Here is a 24,088-nt window from a genome sequence, read left to right as displayed (position 1 = left end):
CTGGCTCACTGCAACCTCTACCTCCTGAATTCAAGTGATTCTCCTGCCTCAGCCTCCTCAGTAGTTTGGGATTACAGACACCTGCCATCACGCCCAGCTAATTTTTGTATTTTTAGCAGATATGGGATTTCCCATGATGGCCAGGCTGGTCTTGAACTACTGACCTCAGGTGATCCACACACCTCAGCCTCCCAAAGTGCTGGGATTACAGGCATGAGCCACCACACCAGGCTGAGGCTCTGCGTTTCTAACAAGCTGTCTGGTGACTACAGTGTGAGTGTGGGAACAGTGCTTTGAAAAGCCAGGCTTGAGATGCCCCCTTACAGCCTGCAAGTGATGTCCCTGCCTGCCTTGTGTTTGTGTGTGATTATATTTGACCTAAGTTGTGCTGCTATCATTGTCACAGCTGAAAAGGGATGAAGACAGCCAACTATTATGTGGCAGCCTTCTGGTTACCAAGAACATGCACAATTGTCAGAGCGGAATCCATGAGATAGAATTTATGGGCACACATACTTGGTGGACCAGAACTGGGAGCTGCGTGCCATCAGCACTCCCTGTCTCTGCTCATCCTTTCTTTCTGCTGCCTGGGCCTAACTTCTCTGGGCACAGGCTTTCTCCAGGTAATGGGCCAGTTCTCAGTGTCAGCCCCATCCCCTCCTCTCTGTGCCCTGCATGACTGTACTGTGCCATCTCCACTGGGCCTGTTTTGATTCCTTTCCTCACTCTTACTGTCAGGGGTTCCCGACATCTGGGATTTTTGTGACAGGTTGTTTGGATTGGATGGCAGTTCTCACTCAGATACCCTGGAAACTCACATAGGTGCCCACAGGGACTTCGCCTCGCCGTCAGATCATGATATGTGTGGCCTTCCCTTGCACACAGCCTTGGCCTAGAGGACACTTGGAAACTGGTTGATGAGGTGCATAGGGGAGGAGGGCATGTTTTAATCACACAGAGCTTGTGTACTGATGGGAAGCTATCAACCTATAAACATAAAATGTTAATATCTATGCATAGTCTCACTACAGTATTATCTTTTCTACTCTACCCCCTTTTCATTAGTGGTCATTTATTTTAACATGTTTCTTTGTTTATGGTTATCAGTGGATATAGTGTTTCATAATCCTATGAGAGCCAGGTCAGGGTGATATCCCTGAAGTGGAAAAAAGTCAAGATCCAGTGAAAAGTCATCAGCAACATAAAAGTTCCTCCTAGATTGTCAGTTTTTAAATCTCAGAACTGTAAATAGCAAAATTCAGTGTGTTCTTTAGAAAGTAAAAGAGCATACTGTTGGAAAGGAAGAATACTCGCAAGAACTGAATCAGAAATAAAATATAGCTTCTGGCAGCAATTGGAATGCCAAAAAGAAGACATAGCAGTTATTTTAAGAATTATCATTATCTTTCATTTAAAAGTGAAAGCGTGGGAGGCTCCAAAGCAGAGAAGAACGAGCTGGATGTTAAGTCTAGCTGACTTGAGCTTGGATCATGGCTCTGCCACTTTCCAGTCCTGTCATTTTGGGCAACATGTGCAGTCTCTTGGAGCCTGTATCTTCTTCTGTAATAATAATAATATCTCACTGGAAAAGTTGTGAGTAGGAAATAAATAATGAGCATCACATCCCTCAAGAGCTCCTGATCCATAGTAACCACTCTATTAGCGAATTATGTCTTAAAAAATGTGTGTGGAGAGGAGTGATGAGGATATTACATAGGTTGAGTTAAGAAACATAGCCTGCCGTGTGGGAGACAGGAAAGAACTTCCCAGTAGTCACCCTCCAAAGTCACCGTCATGAATTTCATAGTAGTGAAAAATCTTTTGTGAAGGAATACAAGGTCTCACTGGTTTTGTTTATTTATTAATTTATTGATTTTTTTTTTGAGACAGATTCTTGCTCTGTCACCCAGGCTGGGGTGCAAGTGGCGCGATCTCGGCTCACTGCAAGCTCCACCTCCTGGGTTCACACCATTCTCCTGCCTCAGCTTCATTTTTAGTAGGGGTTTCATTGTGTTAGCCAGGATGGTCTCGATCTCCTGACCTTGTGATATACTCGCCTCTGCTTTCCAAAGTGCTGGGATCACAGGCGTGAGCCACCACACCCGGCCAATTGATAAGTATTTACTTCAGGTCTTGAGCTTGTGAGCATTTGCTAGTATCTATGGCTTTCATCCCTGGCTCTATATTTCTGTTCCTTTTGTATTTTCCAATACACACCAAAGAATAACTTTTTTGTTGTTGTTGTTTTGTTTTGTTTTTGAGATGGAGTTTTGCTCTTGTCTCCCAGGCTGGAGTGCAGTGCCACAATCTCGTCTCATTGCAACCTCCGCCTCCCGGGTTCATGCGATTCTCCTGCCTCAGCCTCTTGAGTAGCTGGGATTACAGGCGCCCACTACCACGCCTGGCTAATTTTTGTATTTTTAGTAGAGACAGGGTTTCGCCATGTTGGCCAGGGTGGTCTCAGACTCCTGACCTCAGGTGATCTGCCCATCTTGGCCTCCCAAAGTGCTGGGATTACAGGCAATGAGACACCTTGCCTGGCTGACACCAAAGAATAACTTATGACATCCAGTTGACTTCATGAAGGCTGTGTACTTGGTACTGACTAAATTTGTGTTAAAAATTCACTGAACCGAAACTTGAGAACTGAACATAAACTTGGAAAATAAGTGGACCACTTTCTGTGAATGGCTGATTTTGATATTTTATCTGGCAGTTGGTACCCAGTGGCAGCTATGGTTTCACTTTCTTGTTCTGATTTATTTTTGTGCAGTTTATGTTGATTAAGAATTCTTGCATTCCAAGTGTCATCCCAAGCACTTGGTGTGTATTGACACATTTAATTATCGCAGCCATCTTATAAGGTAGATAATAATGTTATTCCTACTTTGGGGATGTGGAAGCAGGCTTAGAGGCATTAAGCGACTTGCCACAGTCACCCTACTGGGTCAATGTTGGAAGATTGGAACTCGTATTCCCACCATGGGAGGAAGCAGTGATATTTAACAGGTTTTAGAGACTATCACCCATTTTGCATATATTAAATGGGCATGTGGCTGTAAGACATCATATAGGAAATGAGTAGCTAAAGCATTTTACTTTGTATACTTGCTTTGCTTTTACTTTAATATGAAAATATTGGAAGTTTGAATCTGGACTTTTGTAAACCCATAGTGACGTATCATAAGTTGCCAGCTGTAAGGTGTAGAGGGGCCATCTGTTGTGGACTGTCTATGTCTACATTTGTTCCTAGGCTAATAAACAGCATTAAAACCAGAACAAAACAGAAGGGAGAGAGTTAAAGAAAAAATTATTTAGGACTATTGTGATACATGTCAAGACCATTGCAGGAGGGGAAAGAGGTGGGGCTCTACTTTAAATACAGTCAGGACAGCTGGGGAATTACACCCAGCAAGCAGAATGAGGGAATCATTGGATGGAAAATGACTTAAGAGGGTACATCAAGGGTGGGAGGAATTCTTGCTAAAAAATACAACTTAACAGTATTCTTGCTACCACTGGACTAGCAGACCAAAAGCAAGGTGCCAGGTCAAGGCCTCATTGAGAAGAGGGGGTTAGAGGAGCCTGTATAAGGTTTAGTCAAGGATAGAGACTTTGTCAGGGTTATTGGGGGAAACCAGCCCCCGATAATTCAATGCTATTTCACGTAGGTTCTTTTCTATTTCTCTAAGTGTCGGCTGGCCTGAGAAATAAATGGAAAGAGTACAAAAGAGGGAAATTTTAAAGCTGGGTGTCCGGGGCAGACATCACATGTCGGCAGGTTCTGTGATGCCCCCCAACCCGCAAAACCAGCAAGTTTTTATTAGTGATTTTCAAAAGGGGAGGGAGTATACGAATAGGGTGTGGGTCACAGAGATCACATGCTTCACAAGGTGATAAAATATCACAAGGCAAATGGAGGCAGGGCGAGATCATAGGACCACAGGACTGGGGCAAAATTAAAATTGCTAATGAAGTTTTGGGCACGCATTGTCATTGATAACATCTTATCAGGAGACAGGGTTTGAGAGCAGACAACCAGTCTGACCAAAATTTATTAGGCGGGAATTTCTTCGTCCTAATAAGCCTGGGAGCGCTACAGGAGACCGGGGCTTATTTCGTTCCTTACACAACTGTAAAAGACAGCCGTTCCTAAAGTGGCCATTTTAGAGACCTCCCCTTGGGAACGCATTCTCTTTCTCAGGGATGTTCCTTGCTGAGAAAAAGAATTCAGCGATATTTCTCCTATTTGCTTTTGAAAGAAGAGAAATATGGCTCTGTTCCACCCTGCTCTCAGGCAGCCAGACCTCATAGTTATCTCCCTTGTTCCCTGAACATCGCTGTTATCCTGTTCTTTTTTCAAGGTGCCCAGCTTTCAAATTGTTTAAACAATTTGTGCAGTTAATGCAATCATCACAGGGTCCTGAGGTGATATTCATCCTCAGCTTATGAAGATGATGGGATTAAGAGATTAAAGTAAAGACAGGTATAGGAAATCACAAGAGTATTGATTGGGGAAGTGATAAATGTCCATGAAATCTTCACAATTTATGTTCAGAGATTGCAGTAAAGGCAGGCATAAGAAATTATAAAAGTATTAATTTGGGGAACTAATAAATGCCCATGAAATCTTCACAATTTATGTTCTTCTGCCATGGCTTCAGCTAGTCCCTCCGTTCAAGGTCCTTGACTTCCCGCAACACAGGGTGACACTGATGAACCCTGTAGAGAATCAGAGAAATGTATTCCATGTGGACTTGAAAATGTTACCCATTGGAATGGCAATATAACGAGCCATTTAAGTTGGTTTTGGTATTTTTGATTAATTTCATGATAAAGTTAATAAATATTAAGACAACTGATTTTCTGCTTATTCTCTACATAGCTTCTTCTCTTTGGGGAATGCAAAATTTCATTAGCTTTGTTTTCACTCTTAAACTACTGAGTCTTCTTATTTTAGTAATCAGATCAGCCTATAAATTTGTAATAATGGCCTTTGTGGGTGGATAGATAGTAATTAATAAGCAACCTACCTAAGTGAATAACAATTGTATAAATATATGTTCAATGTATTTAATGGGAGAACAAAACCCACTACATTATACTTAGGTACATATTTAATTTTAGAAGGAAATAAATCATTCTGTTACCATAGACTTTCAGAAACCTCTTGACTGTGTGAATTCTATGCAGAGTAAAATTTCACAATAACTTTAAAATGTATCATGTATCTGAGGATTGAAAATGTATTATGATATTAAATGTATTTTTCTTGACATTTTATGTAAACTTTATAAAACAACATAGGGGAATTATTTTTTATTTTTATTTTTATTATTGTTTTTGAGATGGAGTCTCCCTTTGTCTCCCAGGCTGGAGTGCAGTGGCGTGATCTCAGCTCACTGCAAGCTCTGCCTCCTGGGTTCACACCATTCTCCTGCCTCAGCCTCCCAAGTTGCTGGGACTACAGGCACCCACCACCATGCCTGGCTAATTTTTTGTATTTTTAGTAGAGACAGGGTTTCACTGTGTTACCCAGGATGGTCTCGATCTCCTGACTTCATGATCCACCCGCCTCAGCCTCCCAAAGTGCTAGGATTACAGGCATGAGCCACTGTGCTCAGCCCCCTAATTTACCTTTTTAAGCCTCTTTTGTGAACTTACATAGTCAGAAGGTTTACATGGTTAAATTAAACACCTACTCAATCTAAAGTTGTTAATATTTTAATCTTCCTAACCATGGACAATTTAGAAAAAGTAACACTGAGCATACTTCTCTGGAAAGCAATAAAGAATAGCCTTTAAAAATGATAGTTAGTAAAAAATATTTTATTAACTAGTGAGTACTATTGGAAGTTACATTCCTTTTAATTTTAGGAGGTGCAACATTATTGCTTTTAAGTGGGGAGAACTGTTTTGATATTCGCCTCAAACAGTAGCAGAAACAGAATGCAAATCACAGTTTAAACAGTCACTTAAAGTTTTGAATATTATAAAATGAAAGAATTCTGTTGTTTCAACTACCATTAAACAGTTAAAATTGCAGAATTTTACTTAAATGACTTTCTTCTAAATTAGACTGAATAAAAACATTCATTTCAAAGTGCTGAAATTACACTTACAATTAGTATTTAATGCTCATTTAAAATTCTATTCTACATATTAACTATCTTTTCATTATCTCAATTTACATGTCCCTAAGATTTTCTGAATCTTAATCCCCATAGCAGTGCTAATGTTTAAGCTAGTATTTCATGAAAGAAAGAAAGGCTACAAATCAGTTTTTTGTACATTACACATAAAGATTCAGTTCAGTGGAATAATCTTGAGGAATTAGTTGTGCAAATGGATTACTGCTGAAAATGGTAAATTGTATATGCTTAATTAAGGAAGGACTTTTCAATGTGAAAGTTTGAAAACATTGTTTCTTAGCAGAATGTTAAACTTAATAAATGTGAATAAAAGTAACTAGCATTGTAAAACTGTAGCAAAGTAATTTGACTTCATTTGACTTCTAAAGAGGAGTCCCAGTACAAAAATAAATCTGGGTTGCCCTTCTTGTTTCCTGAGATGGAAGCTTGGGAACAAATTCTAGAAGGTGGTCGTGGAATTCTAGAAGGTGTTTGGGCTATTGGTCTTCCTTTTTGGTGTCTAGTTCACCCTGAGTCTGTTTCTCTGCACTATGATGTCCCTCCCTGCTCATTAGTAGCATTATGCAGTGAGACTGTCTTACAGCCCCTTCTTCTCCCAGAGGGTCCACAGAAGCCTGTGTCTGTGTCCTGTGGCTGAGTGAAAGAATGGCTGTAATGTGATGCTTCCCACGTCATGCTCTAGAGGCAGAAGCTGTGGCTGGCTCCCTGCCTTACTAGCACTGACCTTGAATATGATTTTTTAAAAAAGAAGCGTGGGCAGGAGGGTAAGAAAACTACTTACCTCCTTGTTTGTCATGAGGATTAAATGATATATGTAAAGGCTAAGCATGGCGTTTGACATAGAGCAAATAGTCAAATGTTAGCTAGTGCTTTTGTTTTCAAATGTGTGGGTTTGCATATATCCATAGTTCATCCTATTATCATCCTGCTATTTCTGACCCTCTTTATTCCAAACTATTTTAGCCCTTTCTCTTCATATTCCAGGCTACATCTATCTTTGAAACTCTAGATCACAGTTGTGTTGCTATAAGTGTTGAAGTAGGTGTGTGTAATTTACCTGGAACCATAGCAGGCACATTAGTGTGCAGTGAATGCCTTGTGTAGTTGTCTTGCTTTTGCCTTTAATGGGGTCAGTGCCCCTCAATTTTCCAAGTTGGACCCTCCAAGACACTCCTGTGGCACTCCCTGTAGTTGGTTCCCTGGTCCTCTTGGTTCTATGGTGACTCTAACTTCATTAACTCTGCCCCTGACCTTTGCAGGACAGACCCATGCTACCTTGTCTCAGCCCCATGTCTTCAGCCTCTTCCTCCTTCCCACCTTCCACACAGACTTCATACAACCCTAGAGACACTGGGTCACCCCAGCCTGAAGGCAAAATAAGATCAGTCCCGAACTTAGGATCCTCAGCCTCCCCCTGCTCTGAACGAATTCCCCCAGAACCTTCCTGGAGTCCTCAGGGCTGACCTGGCCTGGTGGTTCCTGTGTCTCCCTGCTCTGCCCAGCTTGCTGATGACCACAGTAGCTGCTTGAGGTCTGCCTAGACGAGCTTAGGCCACCCTGGCTCCAGGCTCTCCCACCCACCCTCAAAATAGTTTATCAGAATCTTCTTCTGAAAAAATAAATTGGATCCTGAAAGTCCACAAGGTTCTCTGACACCACACGATTTCCCCAGAAAGCACAGGTATCCAGCCAGAAAAGAGAGAGTGGGGCATGCAAGGAGGTGTGACCCATCGGAGCAGCTGTATATGTGTGTGTGTGTGTGTGTGTGTGTGTATATAGAGAGAGAGAGAAAGAGAGAGACAGAGACAGAGAGAGAGAGAGAGAGACCCAGAGCCAGGCAGTGCTGCTGGTTCATCAAAGAGAGTGGGAAACAGGAGGAAGGTGAGACATGGTGTGCGGGGTGAGTAACCTACGAGGTGAGCAGGAGAGGGAGAGACACCAAGGGGTGGTGTGGGCATGGAGGAAGAGGGGGCCACAGTGGACCCTCCCAGCTGCTCCACTGGACCACACCTCCTCACATGACCCACTCTCTCTTTTCTGGCTGGATACTTTTGCTTTCTGGGGAATCGTGTTGTGTCAGAGAACCTCGCAGATATATATCAGTGCCACAGCTGGAGGAGAGGGAGGCAGAGGAACCACGTGTGTGGACCAGTAGCTGAGGTGTGGAATCAAGGGAGCACTTGCCACCCACAGGCAGCACCGCCTGGTCCAGAAACTTCATGCTTAGCTGCTTCCAGGTAGAAGAGCCCTGTCTCTTTCTCTCTGTCTCTCTGTCTCTTTCTGTCTGTCTCTCTTTCTGTTTCTCTGTTTCTCTCTTTTGTCTCTTTTTTATTGTTCTCTGACTTTCCCTGCTTCTGTCTTTCTTTTTCTTTTTCTCTCTGTCTCTGTCTCTATTCTGTGCTCAAGGACTACCCCAAAAGCAAGTGACATACTTGCAGGGTCGTCTTTCCTTACTTGCCCCCAAGGATAGGGGTCTTTGGCATCTGAAGGACTGCTGGTCAGGGAGCAGGGTCAGGAGCCATCCGTGACACACCAAAGGGCACTTTGCGTGTCACCGCGGGCCATGTGAGGATTACAGTGGGTAGACTGTGTCATTATTCATAATTTAAATGTTTATTTTTCCTCTAAATTATAAGCTTCTGGTGTAGATAGTAAAGTGTACTCTTTATAACTCTAATTCAATGTTTGCTGTAAATGAATGGATAAGTGTAATCTTTGTTTGCTGAAGTTTGTCATATAGGACTGCTGTGGATTGGCTTTGTTTGTTTTGAAACGTTCCCTTAACGTTCTCTGTGGTGTTGAGATTTATCAGGAGCACAGAATGTTTCTTGTGTCACTTGGTGAATTTGGCTGGACATATTTTTATTTTGGACATATTTTTGAAAATCAAACTGTAGGTCCATGATTTTAAAACACTCTTCAGTTTTGCTGTTGTTTTTGGCTTCCAGAGACAAGACTGATAGCAGCATGCTTTGGAATGTGTGTCATTGTCTTTAGGATTCCAAGATTCTGCCATCGCTGCTGCTGCCGTCCATGTGTCTGTGATGGCTGGTGGGAACAGCACTTTCCTTTTGTGGGAAGATGGTGTGGTGTGCAGTAGTGGTCACTGTTGGAGAGATGTTTATGTCTTGTACATGAAGAGCTGCTCTCCCTCTGATAGCTGCCTGCCAAGCGGCTCCATCCATCATTGAGAGCGGGCACCACACGGCTCACTGCCCCAAGGTATCCTGAAATATTTCTCCCAACTTTAACATGTTCATTCTCTCCACCTTAATTTGCTATGAAGACATCTATCTCACTGGTGATATAAGAGTGATTTTCCTGGTTTAGAACTATGGTGTACCTGTTTTGACTTTAAATTAGATGAGTAGTTGACATCTCAGATCCTGCCGAAGGCCTGTGCATTCTGATCAAGAGACAGGAGGAGACAGCAGGAGACATGGAAAGGATTATATAAAGACTGTTTCTTCCTGGACTCATGGACCAATGGGGAGAAAAGCTAGTTACATTCTGTAACAAGCAAAAAACCGGAGGAAAAAACTCCTTCAGAGCAGAAGTTTGGACACCTCCGTCCCCATGCTGAGCCCCTCCAGCTAAACCAGTGTTCTTGGAGCCCCGTTTTTGCTTTACTATTAGCTCCATGAAGGCCAAGACTGTCTTTTTCACTTTGATCATAGCTATTCAGTCATAGCTTGTTGAAAGAATGGTGTGTGTGGTTCTGTACAAAACCAGGCTCATTCTGCCTGTTGCACAGTAAGCCAATTGCTGACATGACAAGTTTGCAGTGGAGAAAAGATTTTATTCACAAGGCAGCTAAGTGAGGAGATGGGAGAACAGCTCTCAAATCTGTCTCCTTGGAGATGGTGTTTTAGGGACATTTATGGGATAGAGGAGCAAGGTGGTCTGAAGCATGGGGAAAGGTGATTGGGTATAAGGAAAAATGAGGTAATGAGTGATCTGTGCGAATGTAGTCAAGCGTCATAGCTCTTCATGGGATGCATGTTCACAAAATAGCATTACCATGATCTGAGGGTGGAGATTTTGGCCCTCTGACCTCAAAAAGTCACCCATTGGACATTCACTCAGGTCCAGTTGAAGGGTCAGTGGTCTCAGCTAGCTTGAACTGGACAAGAGCTGACTCCAAGTTCCTGGAAAACACCTTAAGCAAACATTTCCATGGTGACCTATGCATCAGAGATACCGTCTATAAGAAAGATGGTGGGAGTTTAGTTATATATTGTTTAGCTACATGACTTTTAGCTATATGGTTTTTAAAATCAACTAAAAGCAAGTGACTAAGAACAAGCAAGGCAGGTCAAGATTGGTGAGCCTAATCAGATTAGCTTTCAGTTTCAGTTCTAAGGCATGGTGGTTCTAAGTTTCTTTTAGTGTGAAATATCTATGATTACATGTCAAAACATGTATCACAGGAAAAAAGGGCATCATTGAAGAATGACAAATCAGAAACTGGGGCTAATAGTTGTGAAGGCAGCTTCAACTACCAAATATCATGAACCAGAATAAAGTCTACTCAGCCACAAATCCAGAAGTGGAAAACAAGCTAAAGGTTAATCCCATCATGAGTTGGAGTAAGAGTAGAGACAGGTGGCAGGAGCCCAGAGTTGGCAGAGATTTGAATTCTTCAAGCTTTTCCAATATTTGAGCAGCATTTTGGAGTAATGGTAACTACTGGACCAGTTTTATGAGAGTGGATGCAGGGCTGGCTGAGTCTTCATCTGATTCTGGGTCTCAACTACAAATTCTGAGGAGCAGTTAGCATATCTTCCCATATGAACTGCTGGGCACATAGTAAACCATTAATAAATGGTGGAATGACTTTGATATGACTCAAATAGAAAATGTGCAGTTCATTCCACAATTCCTCTGTCAGTGATGCACATTCTTTTTTGAGACGGAGTCTCGCTCTGTTGCCCAGGCTGGAGTGCAGTGGAGCAAACTCAGCTCGCTGCAAGCTCTGCCTCCCGGGTTCACGCCATTCTCCTGCCTCAGCCTCCTGAGTAGCTGGGACTACAGGTGCCAACCACCACTCCCAGCTAATTTTTTTCATTTTTTATTTTTAGTAGAGACGGGGTTTCACTGTGTTAGCCAGGATAGTCTCGATCTCCTGACCTCGTGATCCGCCCACCTTGGCCTCCCAAAGTGCTGGGATTACAGGCGTAAGCCACCATGCCTGGCCAATGTGCATTCTTATTCATTCTGTTTTGGCCTAATTTATAATACATAGAATGGTGGTTGTTGGACATACCACACTTCTGTGTTTTGTAGTTATAATGTGAGTGTGTGTGCACATATCTGCATATAAATGATTCAACCCAGCTTAGAGCTCACAAGTTCCTTTTCCTTTTTTTCTTTAAATTATTCATGGCTTGTTTTGAATGCTGAGAAAGCTGTTCTAGCCCTGTATTAATATAATTATCTGAAAATTTGGAACTTGATTGTTATTGACATCATGAGTTTTCTCATGAGTTATTTTTTCCCAGAAGTTTCACTCATATATAAACTTGAATATAATGAAGTTAACTTCCTATAATTTATTTACCCCTATTATAGCAGAAAGGTCACCAAATTTGACATAAAACTCTGTTCATATAAAGCCTTAATTATCAACTAGCTGTTTACCTTGAACAAGTCAGTTAAATTCTCTTGGCCAGAGGAAACACTTTTGGAATGGCAGAGCAAGGACTTTCAAAAATCCACTTCTCCACAAAAGCAAAAACAAAAAAAAAAAAACACTGATAAAATCTGACAAAATAAATTAAAAATAATCATAAGTCTGGAAATTAACTAAAGGTTTTCAACAGTTGAAGGAACATTTATACAAAGTGACTGAATCTCAGTAAGAATCGTGAGCTTTGTTCACTGCTTTGTGATGTTTTAACTTAGCTGATCCCCTTCATTTTCACCCCAGCTCCGCAGTACTCTTGAAAACCAACAGCTTCACAGCCATGGTAACTCTGAAAATCAGGAGCCTAGAAACCACTAAGAGGAAAGAACAGGTTTGGAGATCCTAAACAAAGAACAATGATTGTCATTATTTGTTCTATCTGGAAACTTTTTGGAAAATTCAGATTCACAAATGTCTTGACTTGACTTGACTCATAATTATCTCTGTAACGTGTTATCCTCAGGGCTTTGGTTGAAAACATCAGCAGCAATTGTTTAATATATCAAAGTTGCCCTGGCAGTGATACAAGTTAGGGCAAACAAGAGGACGGCCAAAAATCTTAAAAGGAAAATCTAGAAAACGAAACACCTGTAGCAGGCTTTTAAAACATGTTTATCTGACATATTCCAGGGGATCTAGAAGACCATGCAAATATGCAGTAAAGATTTGAAAAGAGTATCTGTAGGTGACCTTTGAGGCCCTGCAAAACAGGAAGTGAAGACTAAGGCATAGTAGTAAGCTTTCAGAGTGTTGAAGGCATGCCTCAGGACACATACATATACAGCCCCTGAACAAAGCATGGGAGACTGATTGGTTCAAGGTGTTTAAGGAAATCTCTGTCTAATAATTAGCTAACTAACAATTAGCTAACTGAGTAGAAACTTCAGTGGCCTCGCATGACAAAGAATACAGACTTTACAAAACTCACTCAAGAAAATCACTAATCAAGCAGCAAAAACATGAAAACTAGGAAGGGGTTCAGATTTTAAAAGTTGCCTTATTATATTATGTTAAATGTTCAGTTTTCACAGAGAAAGGAGGAGGGTAGAAGAAAGAGGGGGAGAGACAGAGAGAAAGGCAAAGAGGAACATATATAGGAAAGAGGAAAGTATAGCTCAAGCATAGGAAAAGTAATCAATAGAAACTATCCATAAGAAAACTCAGATGTTGGACTAACTAGATAAAGATTTTAAATCAGCTGTTATAAATATGTTCCAAGAACTAAAGGAAATTATATCTAAAGAATAGAAGGACAGACATAGGAATGATGTCTAACCAAATAGAAAACATCAATAGAGGTATAAATTATTTAAAAAGTGTGAAGAAAAATGAAGAGAATCTAAAAAGCTCCATGGGGTACCATCAAGGGCACCAACATACACATGATCATAGTTCTAAAAGGAGATGAGGGAGAGAAGGGGACGGAAAGAATATTTAAAGAAATAATTCCAGCAAATTCCAAAATTTGATGGAAAACAATTATACACATCAAACAAGTTCAATGAACTCCAAGTAGGATAAACTCAGCGATCCATCCCTAGAAAGACCATAATCAATCTGTTGAAGACATCTTTTTTTTTTAAAAAAAAGATGCATCACAAATAAAGTAATCCTCAATAAAACTAATAGCTGATTTCTCATTATAAACCATGGAGACTTCAGGCAGTGGGATGACATACTCAAAGCGTAGAAAGAAAATGACTGTCAAACAACAATTGCATATCCAGCAAAGTTATCCTCCAAAAGTGAAGGAAAATTAAGACATTCCCAGATAAACAGATATGGAGAGGATTAATCACTAGCAGACCTGCTCTATGAGATATGATAAAGTGAATTTTTTAGGCTGAAATAAAGGACCCTAACTAGTTCTTCAAATACATACAAAGAAAAAGCACTGCAAAGTATACTACATAGGTAAAAGTGTAAATTTATTTTTGCTAGTAACTTGTTTCTTCTGATTTAAAAGAAAACTGGATAAAATAATAATGACAAAATGCTGTTGATGGATTTTAAAAATACAGAGGTGAAATTTGCATGACAATAGTAATATAGAAGAGTGGGAAGGGAACAGAGCTGTAGAGCAAAATTTTTTCTATACTATTAAAACTAAGGTGGTATTAATGCAAACGAGTTGTTTAAAATGTTAACTGTAATCCCTAAGAAAACAGCTCCAAAAATATAGTAAAAGAATAAACAGCTCGGTGGCTCACGCCTGTCATCCCAGCACTTTGGGAGGCCAAGGCAGGTGGATCACGAGGTCAGGAGATTGAGACCAACATGCTGAAATCCCGTCTCTACTAAAAAATACAAAAAATTAGGCGGGCATGGTGGCGGGCGCCTGTAGTGCCAGCTACGTGGGAGGCTGAGGCAGGAGAATGGTGTGAACCCGGGAGGCGGAGCTTGCAGTGAGCTGAAATCGCACCACTGCACTCCAGCCTGGGGGATAGAGTGAGACTCCATCTCAAAAAAAAAAAAGAATAAACAGGGGAATTAAAATGCTACAGTAGAGAATTTTGATTTAACAAAGAAGTAGGCAGTAATGGAGAAATAGAGGAACAAAAAGATATAAATATAGAAAACAAAAAGTAAATGGAAGATGTAAATCCCACCTTATCTTTATTTATAATAATATTAATGAAATATGATACAAATTAATATAATTCCACCTTATTAATAGTTGTGTTAATTAGTAATACAAATGGATTAAACATTTAATTAAAAGGCAGAGATTGGCAGAATGCATTAAAAAGCATGAACCAACTATATTGTATTAATGAGACACACTTTGGCTTCAAAGACACAAATAAGTTGAAAGGAAAAGAATGAAATAGTGTTGTATTAGTCAGTTTTCATGCTGCTGATAAAGACATACCCGAGACTGGGTAATTTATAAACAAAAAGAGATTTAATGGACTCACAGTTCTGCGTGGCTGGGGAGGCCTCATAATCATGTCAGAAGGTGAAAAGCATGTCTTACATGGTGGCAGGCAAAGAGAATGAGATCCAAGCCAAAGGGATTTCACCTTATAAGACCATCAGATCTCATGAGACTTATTAACTACCACGAGAACAGTAAGGGGGAAACCGCCCCCATGGTTCAATTATCTCCCACTGGGTCCCTCCCACAACATGTGGGAATTATGGGAGCTACAATTCAAGATGAGATTTGGGTGAGACACAGCCAAACCATATCAACCGTGCAAGTAGTAACCAACAGAGAACTGTAGTGGCTGTAGTAATATCAGACAACATACAATTGAAGACAAATTTATGCTAGAGACAAAGGAGACTGTTTTAAAATAATGAAATGGTTAGTTCATCAGAAAGACACAATAATTATATATGCACTCAATAACAGAGCCCCAAAACACATGCAACAAAAACAGATTAAACTGAAGACAATTCAACAGTAATAGTTGGAAACTTCAATACTTCAATAATGGATAGAGTAACTAAGCAGAAGATCAAGTAAATAGAAAACTTGAACAACACCATAACGCAGCTAGACCTAACAGACATCTATGTAATGCACCATTCAGCTACAGCAGGGTACACATTTTTCTCAGTGCACATAAAACATGCTCTAGGATAGTTCATATGGTAGCCCATATAACAAGCCTCACTAAATTAAAAAGGACTGAAATAATACAAATGTAAAGTATGATCTCTAACTACCTGGAATAGAATTTGAAATCAATAATAGAAGGTAAATGGGGGAATTAACAATTATGTGGAAATTAAGCAAAACACATCTAAATAAACAATGATTCAGAGAAGAAATATTAATGGAAATTAGAAAATACTTTAAGATGAATGAAAGTAAAAACATAACAACACTTATAGGGTGGAGCTGCAGTCATGGCCAGAGAGATATTTGGAGTTGTAAATGCCCATATTAAAAAAAAAAGACATCAAATAAATAAACTTTCACTTAAAAAAAAAAAACTAGAAAAAGAAAGGCAAACTGAACCCAAAGCAAGCAGAATGAAAGAAATCATAAAGTTCAAAGCTGAAATAAATGAAGTAGAGACTAGAGAAAAATAGACAAAATCAACAAAACCAAAAAAGCTTGCTCTTTAAAAAGGTCAAAAAATTGACAAATCTTTAGCTAGACCAAAAAGGAGATAGAGAAAAGACTCAAATTACTACAAATTACTAGAGTCAGGAATAAAGAGAGGACATTATTTCTGAAATTATAGAAATAAAAGGGATTATAAGGCAATATGATGAACAAATTAGATAATCGAGATGAGATGAACAAATTCCTAGAAAGGCACAAACTACCAAAACAGACTTAAGAAGTATTAGAAAATCTGAGTGGATATATCTATAACAAGTAAAGGGATTAAATTAGTAATTTTAAAAATTCTCATAGCTATATCCCAGGTCCAGGTGACTTCGCTGAAGAATTCTACCATACATTTAAAGGATAATTAACAATTCTTCACAGATTTTTCCAAAAAATTGAAGAGGAGGAAATATGATTTGGCAATAAAAAGTAGTACGTATTAATTCATGCTACAACATGGATAATTTTTTTTGGAGGTCAATATACACAAAGCAATTTTATTTGTATGTACTTGTGGTGAACAATTAGAAAATTTCATTCATAATAGCATAAAAGTATAAAATATTCAGGAATAAATTTTTTTTTTCAGAGCAGGAATGGAAGTTTATTAAAAAGCTTTAGAGCGGGAACGAAAGAAAGGAAAGTACACTTGGAAGAGGCCCAAGTGGGCATCCTGGAGGTCAAGTGCGGCATTTGACCTTTGACTTAGGGTGCTATATGTTGGCATACTTCTGGGGTCCTGCGTCCCTTTTTCCTTGATTCTTCCCTTAGGGTGACCTGCCAGCATGTGCAGTGGCCTACTGACACCTGGGAGGTGAGCATGCACAGTGTGTTTACTGGAGTCTGGCGCTTGCTTGCCTGGGGCTTCGTCCCTTTTCCAGTTGAATGCCCCAGGAAGGTCATACTCCGCCATTTTGGTTCTTTTTTTTTTTTTTAATACTTTAAGTTCTAGGGTACATGTGCACAATGTGCAGGTTTCTTATATATATACATGCACGACAACATGGATGATATTTGAAAACATTTTTGCTAAGTGAAAGAAGCCAGTCACAAAACGCTGCATATTCTATGATATCATTTATATAAATATCTGGAATAGACAAATGACAGAGACAGAAAAGCAGGTTAGTGATTTTCTGGGGCTGGGTATAAGGGATAATGGGGGAATTACTGCTAATGGATATGGAGTTTCTTTATGGGGTGTTGGAAATATTCTAAACTTAGGTGGTGGTGATGGTTGTACAACTATGTCAATATGCTAGAAACCACTGAATTGTACATTTTAAATAGATAAATTTTATGCAAAGTATATCTCAAGAAAGCTGTTATACTTCTTTTTTCCCTTTGGCTTGTTTTCTCATTTGAAAGATGAGAGACTGGGGTTGATTATCTATATAGCTTCTGGTGATGAAAAGAGTCAAACTCTGTAAAATGATTTTAAGTGATTTATTCTGAGCCAAATATGAGTGACGATGGCCCGTGACACAGCCCTCGGGAGGTCCTGAGAACATGTGCCCAAGGTGGTCGGGGTACCTCTTTGTTTCATATATCTTAGGAAGACATGAGACATCAATCAAATACATTTAATAAATACATTGGTTTGGTTCAGAAAGGTGGGACAACTCAAAGTGGGAGCTTTCAGGCTATAGGTAAATTTAAATATTGTCTGGTTGACAATTAGTTGAGTTTGTCTAAAGACCTGGGATCAATAGAAAGGAATGTTCAGGTTAAAGATAAAGGATTGTGGAGACCATGTTTTATTGTGCAGAGGAAGCTCTCAGATAGCAGACTTCAGAGAGAGCAGCAGGTTGTGAACTGTTTCTTATTGGACTTAAAAGCTTGCCTGGCTCTTAGTTGATTATCTCCTGGATCTAGGAAGGAAGGAAGGAATACAAAGGGGGAAGGGGATTCTCTATAGAATGTGGATTTTTCCCACAAGAGACTTTGCAGGATAATTTCAAGGTATGGCAAGGAAATATATTTTGGGGTTAAATATTTTTTCCTTGTCTCATAATGTTATGCCAGAGGCAGATTGAAAAGTAAGTCACAATATGTATCTGGTGAGAATTTATGGTTTGTAGGGCATGACTCCCCAGGCCCCTTAGATAAGAATTTAGGCAAGATAAAAAAAATCAGAGCTCTAGTCCTCATTTCTTCCAGCTCATTTATTCAATGGATGTATGCCTTTGAAGTTATACAGAAATAAATCTTAAAAGCAGAGTCCTATTTACTCATTGTTTTATTCTCAGATATGCTTTACTTTTATTTCCCATGTTCTCTGTTAATCCTACACTCTAAGATTCTGTATCTTCCAGTTGCTCTGCAGAGTATAGAAACATTTCACAGCTTCCAAAAAATGCACACTTATTTAAAAATTAGTGTGTGGGCATGCAATACATTATGAGTGTTAGGTTTAAAAGAGAATTTTAATCTAGCAAGTGAAATGATTTAAATAAGGTGAAATTTTCTGTTATATTTATTTTTTTCACTAAGCATCTTTGGAATACCTTTTCTCAGACAACAAACTTTAGAGGCACTAAAGTAAGTGAAATATTTCAGATAAGGTAAGTACAGTCATCACAGGTGGAAGTACATTTTGAAAAAGAATACCAGAAAACCCTGGTTTAAATTTTAACTCTGACATGAGCAAATCTATTAAGAGCTTTAAATCTTAGCTTTTTGTTGTAAATATACGTTATATATGCATATTATACATGTTTGTATATGCATACATAAATACGGTGAGGCATAGCCTTAATATTTATCAGGGGTAATAATAAAATAATGGCTGACAGTTATTGAGCACTGGATATGAGCTAAGAAATTCATGAATACAGTCTCATTTAATCCTCAAAATAATCCCTTATAGCAGAAATTATTTCTCATCCCGTTTTACAGATGAGTAAAACCAAAGCCATCAGGTTAGCAAGTATCAGGAAGAGAGCTGTTAGCTTCTAGGAAATGTTCTTCATAATACATTCTCAGCAAATGCCATGGGATTTTGGAGAACCCTGCTGTTTGTAAATATCAAGTAATGCCTCTCATTCAGTTCAAGGAGATACTAAACAGTTTAAGTGATTTCAGGCCGGCCGCGGTGGCTCACGCCTGTAATCCTAGCACTTTGGGAGGCCGAGGCGGGCGGATCACGAGGTCAGCAGTTCGAGACCATCCTGGCTAACATGGTGAAACCCCGTCTCTACTAAAAATACAAAAAAAAAAAAAAAAAAAAATTAGCCGGGCGTTGTGGCGGGCGCCTGTCGAACCAGCTACTCCGGAGGCTGAGGCAGGAGAATGGCGTGAACCCGGGAGGCGGAGCTTGCAGTGAGCTGAGATCGCGCCACTGCACTCCAGCCTGGGCGACAGAGCGAGACTCCGTCTCAAAAAAAAAAAAAAAAAAAAAAAAAAAAAAAGTTTAAGTGATTTCCTTCAGGCTAACCATGAACCTGGCTGGGAACAGGGATTTCACCATGAACTAAAGCACACAAGTATTACTGTTATAAAGAGACAAAGGGAATTTCAAAGTTACTTTGGAATCCCAATGTGCACGCATGATTATGACTATGGGCACTCTTTGCTGGTACAAATAGTGGATGTTAAATGCTAAAGTTTTAAAATGCCACCAGTTCATATTATTTTAAAAACTGCTTTATAAATGATGTGCTATTCAAATAGAAGGTGATCTAAATCTCATTGCAATACATACATGGAGTTAGAAAGTTCAAGCACTTCATCAAACAGCAAAATTTGCATTTGAGTAAATGAGTAAGTCAGTGTACATGTTTGTCTCACACTCTGACAAATTTCCAAGGGAGGATTCATTTTATTTCTGTGCTCTGAATATTTATTTAGAACACAATGCTACTCATTGTAATTTCACAATAGCTTTTTTTTTTTTAATTAAGCCTAGTAAACCATACTACTTTGTGAGCTTTACTAACCTCACTAACTCTCTTATTCCTTCCTACTGGTCTAGCATCTTAGACTAAACACCAGCTAGAATGTGGAGTTAGGCAATCAAGTGTGAAACTTAACTTGTACTTGTGTAAGTATTAATATATACTTTTACTCTTTAAACTTGTTAAGAATGAGAGATTTCCAAATTAGTCTTGACAGACAATCAGTTTTTGATGGACTTCCGAGTTTTAACATATGAAAATACATTTTTGTTTATAAAATATAAATTCCAACAAGGGTAGCTTGGGTTCTGAGCTAATTATTAGGGAATTCGAGTTTCTTCCTTTACCTGGAGAAGAGTAGCCTCAGAACTGATAGAGAAGTTAGAGAGGGGCCTTAAGTGGACCCTCAAGAAACAGCACCTGAACTTTTGGGGCGGCTGAGGTCAGCAGGATTTACTGAGGACTGTTAGGTGCCCCGAGGGCATTGCCTTGGCCAATTCATCCTTGTAACAACCCTGTCACCAAGCAAGATATTTCACTGGGCAGGAAATGAAGACCCACGTTAAATTAAATGTTCAGACATCTGTCTAGGAAACTGGAGCAGGTGGGGAACTTGGCTCCTTTGACGTTCAGTCAAGTATAAGAACAATGTAATTTGTGTTCTTCTTGCTTATTGCTATTTAGTTTCTTGCAGCACAGCTCTTAAAGCATGACAAAGGAATGGTCATCTCTGGAAGTATTTTTAAATGGAGAACTAATCCATCAGTCATTCTTGCCTGAGGAGGATTCTCTGCTCTCCTACTCTCTCTCTCCCTCCAGTATTTAGGGCGTGCCTATTTTGTGCTGGTCAGAGTGCTTCATGGCCCTCCCTGTGGCTCTCACACTCAAATCGGGGACATAGATAATCAAGAGAAAATGATTAAATACAGAGTGCAAATTCTGAGACGTCCTATGCAGGAAGCGGAGTGCAGTGAGGGGGCACTGGTGGTGGGGGATGAACTTATTTAGAAACTTCATCAGGGCTGGCCTGCCAGAGAAGGTGGCATTTAAATTGACGCTTTCAGATAGAAGAGGCAGCCAAGCAGAGATGTGAATTCTAAGACAGGAATAAATTTGGACAGAGACTGAAAGAGGGCAGTGAGGTTGGCTAGAGCTTAGTGGCTGTGGGAGAGCATCACAAGACTGAGTAGATGAGGTACCTTCTTCAACCAATGCGGGGGCAAACAAAGAACCCCTGGGAGCCTCTGTACATCAGGTCCAGTACTCAGTGCTGGCACAGAGCACCCTGAAACCCTGACTCCTATTCTCATGGTCCATTCTATTCCAGCCCCAGGAAATGCTTCTCCCCATGTCTTGCTCTTTGTCCTCAAAACAAAAGGTGATACTGAGTTTCCAAATCTGCCAAGATTCATAGGTAGTAGCAGTGGCAACACTGGAGAGAGTCACTGCTTTGTTGCTCAGGGAGGATTAGAGCTGTGGAAATTTGTAGGTAAGAGAAAGCACAAGCACATTAACTGGCTGTATGAGTCCATTTTTACACTTCTGTAGAGACCTGCCTGAGACTGGGTGATTTATAAAGGAAAGAGGTTTAATTGACTCACAGTTCTGCATGACTGGGGAGGCCTCAGAAACTTACAGTCATGGCAGAAGGTGAAGGGAAGGCACCTTCTTCACAAGGTGGCAGGAAGGAGAATGCATCTGGGAGGAACTACCAAACGTTTATAAAACCATCAGATCTCGTGAAAACTCACTATCACAAGAACAGCATAAGGAAAACCACTACCATGATCCAATTATCTCCAGTACGTCTCGCCCTTGACACATGGGGATTATGGGGATTATAATTCAAGATGAGATTTGGGTGGGACACAAAGCTTAACCATATCACTTGTCAAATCCCTTCCCTCAGCTTGAAATAGCATTCTAATTGTTGCAAAGTATTTTTTCCATGTAGTGTTGAACATCTATTTCCTTGCATTTCTTTATGAACCAAATATGGTCGGGAATTACTCATACATTAGCATGGAATTTGTGATACTTGCACATGGTGGCTAAGGAATATTAGACAATTCATCTTATTATTAAATTCACAATATTCTTACATTCATATATATGTATGTTTAGCTATAATACGTGTGAGGTGGTGACTCCACTGGTGACTAGGAAGACCTTGAAAGTTTAATTACAAATAGCTTTACTTTTGTAAAAATATTTAATAAGATGTAATTAAATCTTCATAAGAAAAAGATTTTAGTTGAATTTCAATACATTTAATTTAAAATTTGACATTATTATTTACATTTGCCTTTAATTTTAAGGTAGTTTATATTATTAAAAAAACTTTTCAAAGTACATGAAAAATATGTTCAGTTTTTTATATTTAATTGGTATTTTCATGAGAATATATTCTAATTTTGTAGTCTTTGGATACAATTACATTTTTTAAATTTCTTTAGATCACTTAGAATAAGTTCATGTCAAGATGGGGCTAGAAATAGAAGACAAAAATAGAGCTCAGAAAAGGGGCGGAAGCAGCAGAAAAAAACCAAAGACATTCAGAGGCAATCTGCTTACATTTTTAAATTCCTGAAACAATGAAAGAAAGAGTAGGCTTCTGTCAAGCATGACCCATATAAAATTTGCAAAGAGTACAAAACACATTTTCCAGATTTAGTTACTGATCAAAGTAATAAAAACAAGCCAATTGGACATTGCAGATGATTTAGACTTTTGCTACTGGCCATAACAATGGAGATGAGCAAGAAAATTTTTCTCGTCATATCCCAGGTAATCAGGTCTGATAAACTCCATGAAAGTTTATATTTTTTACTAAGCAAAGGTTGAAATACTGATCAAAATCACAAGAATAAATCACAAAAGTGTTCCCATCTAATTCCCAGCTTAGAAGCAGCAAAGGCAGCTGGGCCAGCTGATAGACAAGGAACGCTGTCCTCCCAGAACCAGCCACGGGTGCAGATGATGGGCACTGCGGAGCCTGCTGTCTTACAGAAGCTGATCCTGGAGGGTGCCTTTCAATCCTCGATGTCAGGAGGTTTTCTTTTAGAAAACAATCTGATTCAGAATAATGACTGCAATTTTTCACTGGATGGAAAACAAGTCTAGAGGAATTGACCCTTATTTTAAGTTCAAAGATAGTATATCCTTGTTACTACTGTTACATGTTTTATAGCCAATCTTCAAGACCACCTCTGGGCAATGAAGTTATTTGTGATGGAAACACTTAGGTTCTTGATTAAGTGAATATTAAAAAAAAATCACTATCAGAGAAAAGTATACCTGATACAATGACTAGAACTGAAAAATTATGAACAAATAGCAAAACAATTAGTACTATTTGACAAAAAGAAGTAATCACCAATATAAAACTTTGGTATGATGTTCTAAACATACGAATATCCACTTTTTAGCCAAACATAATGATGCTTCTTTTGACACTGACTATCCAACATTTCTTGAGAAGAGTGGATAGTTTCTAAGTCTAGAAGACATGATTTTGGAATTTGAAGCTAGAATGTCTGAACATGTAGTACAGATTAAAAAAAAACAAATTAAAACTATCTAGAATGGCAAAATAAAAATGAAATTATCTTTTAATGCATAATGAAGTGAGAGAAAAAATTACAATAAAATAATTTTTAAAGTTTTTTTCTAAATTGAAAGATATTTCATGTGATACATCTAAAGTAACATAGCTGTAAAATATAAGGACATTAGAAAAAGGAAATGGAAATATTTGCATTACTATGAAGCTTCCTGTACAAATAATTCCAAAACTAATGTATATAGATACTATTTTCTCACCATTATATACTGAGATGTCTTAATCATAGGTTTTCTATGAAATATTTCAGCAAAGAAAAATTTGAAAAAATTTATAAGTATTGTGTGGGTTCAGGCATTTCTTTTTCTTTCTCTCTTTCTCTTTCTTTCCTTTTTTTTTTTTTTCTGTGATGGGGTCTCACTGTGTCACCCAGTCTGTAGTGCAATCATGCTATCTGGACTCACTGCAACTTCTGCCTGCTGAGCTGAAGCCATTCTCCCACCTCAGCCTCATGAGTAGCAGAGACTGCCGGCGCACCACCTTGCCCAGCTAATATTTGTATGTTTTGCAGAGATGGTATTTTGCCTTGTTGCCCAGGATGGTCTCGAACTCCTGACCTTAAGTGATCTGCCCACCTTGGCCTCCCAAAGTGCTGGGATGACAGGGGTGAGCCACTGCACCCGGTTGAATTCAGATTTTTTTTAAGAGATGGTGTAATTTATA

The 24,088-nt window shown here is 39.3% G+C and overlaps 1 protein-coding gene and 1 long non-coding RNA gene across 9 annotated transcripts in view, besides 1 other annotated feature; both read left to right on the top strand.

The window, feature by feature from the left end:
* The window catches only part of PXDNL (peroxidasin like), a 489,869-nt gene that overhangs the window by 29,283 nt on the left and 436,498 nt on the right, over positions 1-24,088 (top strand). The window lies entirely within an intron of this gene.
* Positions 182-23,428, top strand: LOC105375833 (uncharacterized). 2 transcript variants are annotated; one of them, XR_928869.3, is made up of 3 exons: positions 182-623; positions 19,881-19,949; positions 22,704-23,428. It is a non-coding gene; the product is annotated as an uncharacterized LOC105375833 (long non-coding RNA). The 2 variants fall into 2 exon arrangements; XR_928868.3 differs by lacking the exon at positions 182-623 and adding an exon at positions 8,507-9,374.
* Positions 4,027-4,227: a silencer, noted in NCBI's record as "peak7013 fragment used in MPRA reporter construct". NCBI's record gives its function as "represses an SCP1 promoter by STARR-seq MPRAs in K562 erythroleukemia cells {active_cell/tissue: K562}" and the evidence as "EXISTENCE:reporter gene assay evidence [ECO:0000049][PMID:32103011]".

This window comes from Homo sapiens, chromosome 8 (assembly GCF_000001405.40).
Source record: "Homo sapiens chromosome 8, GRCh38.p14 Primary Assembly".
Classification (NCBI taxonomy): Eukaryota; Metazoa; Chordata; class Mammalia; order Primates; family Hominidae; genus Homo; species Homo sapiens.
Note: the sequence above shows the minus strand (reverse complement) of the source record. Positions and strands in the feature narration are given on the sequence as shown.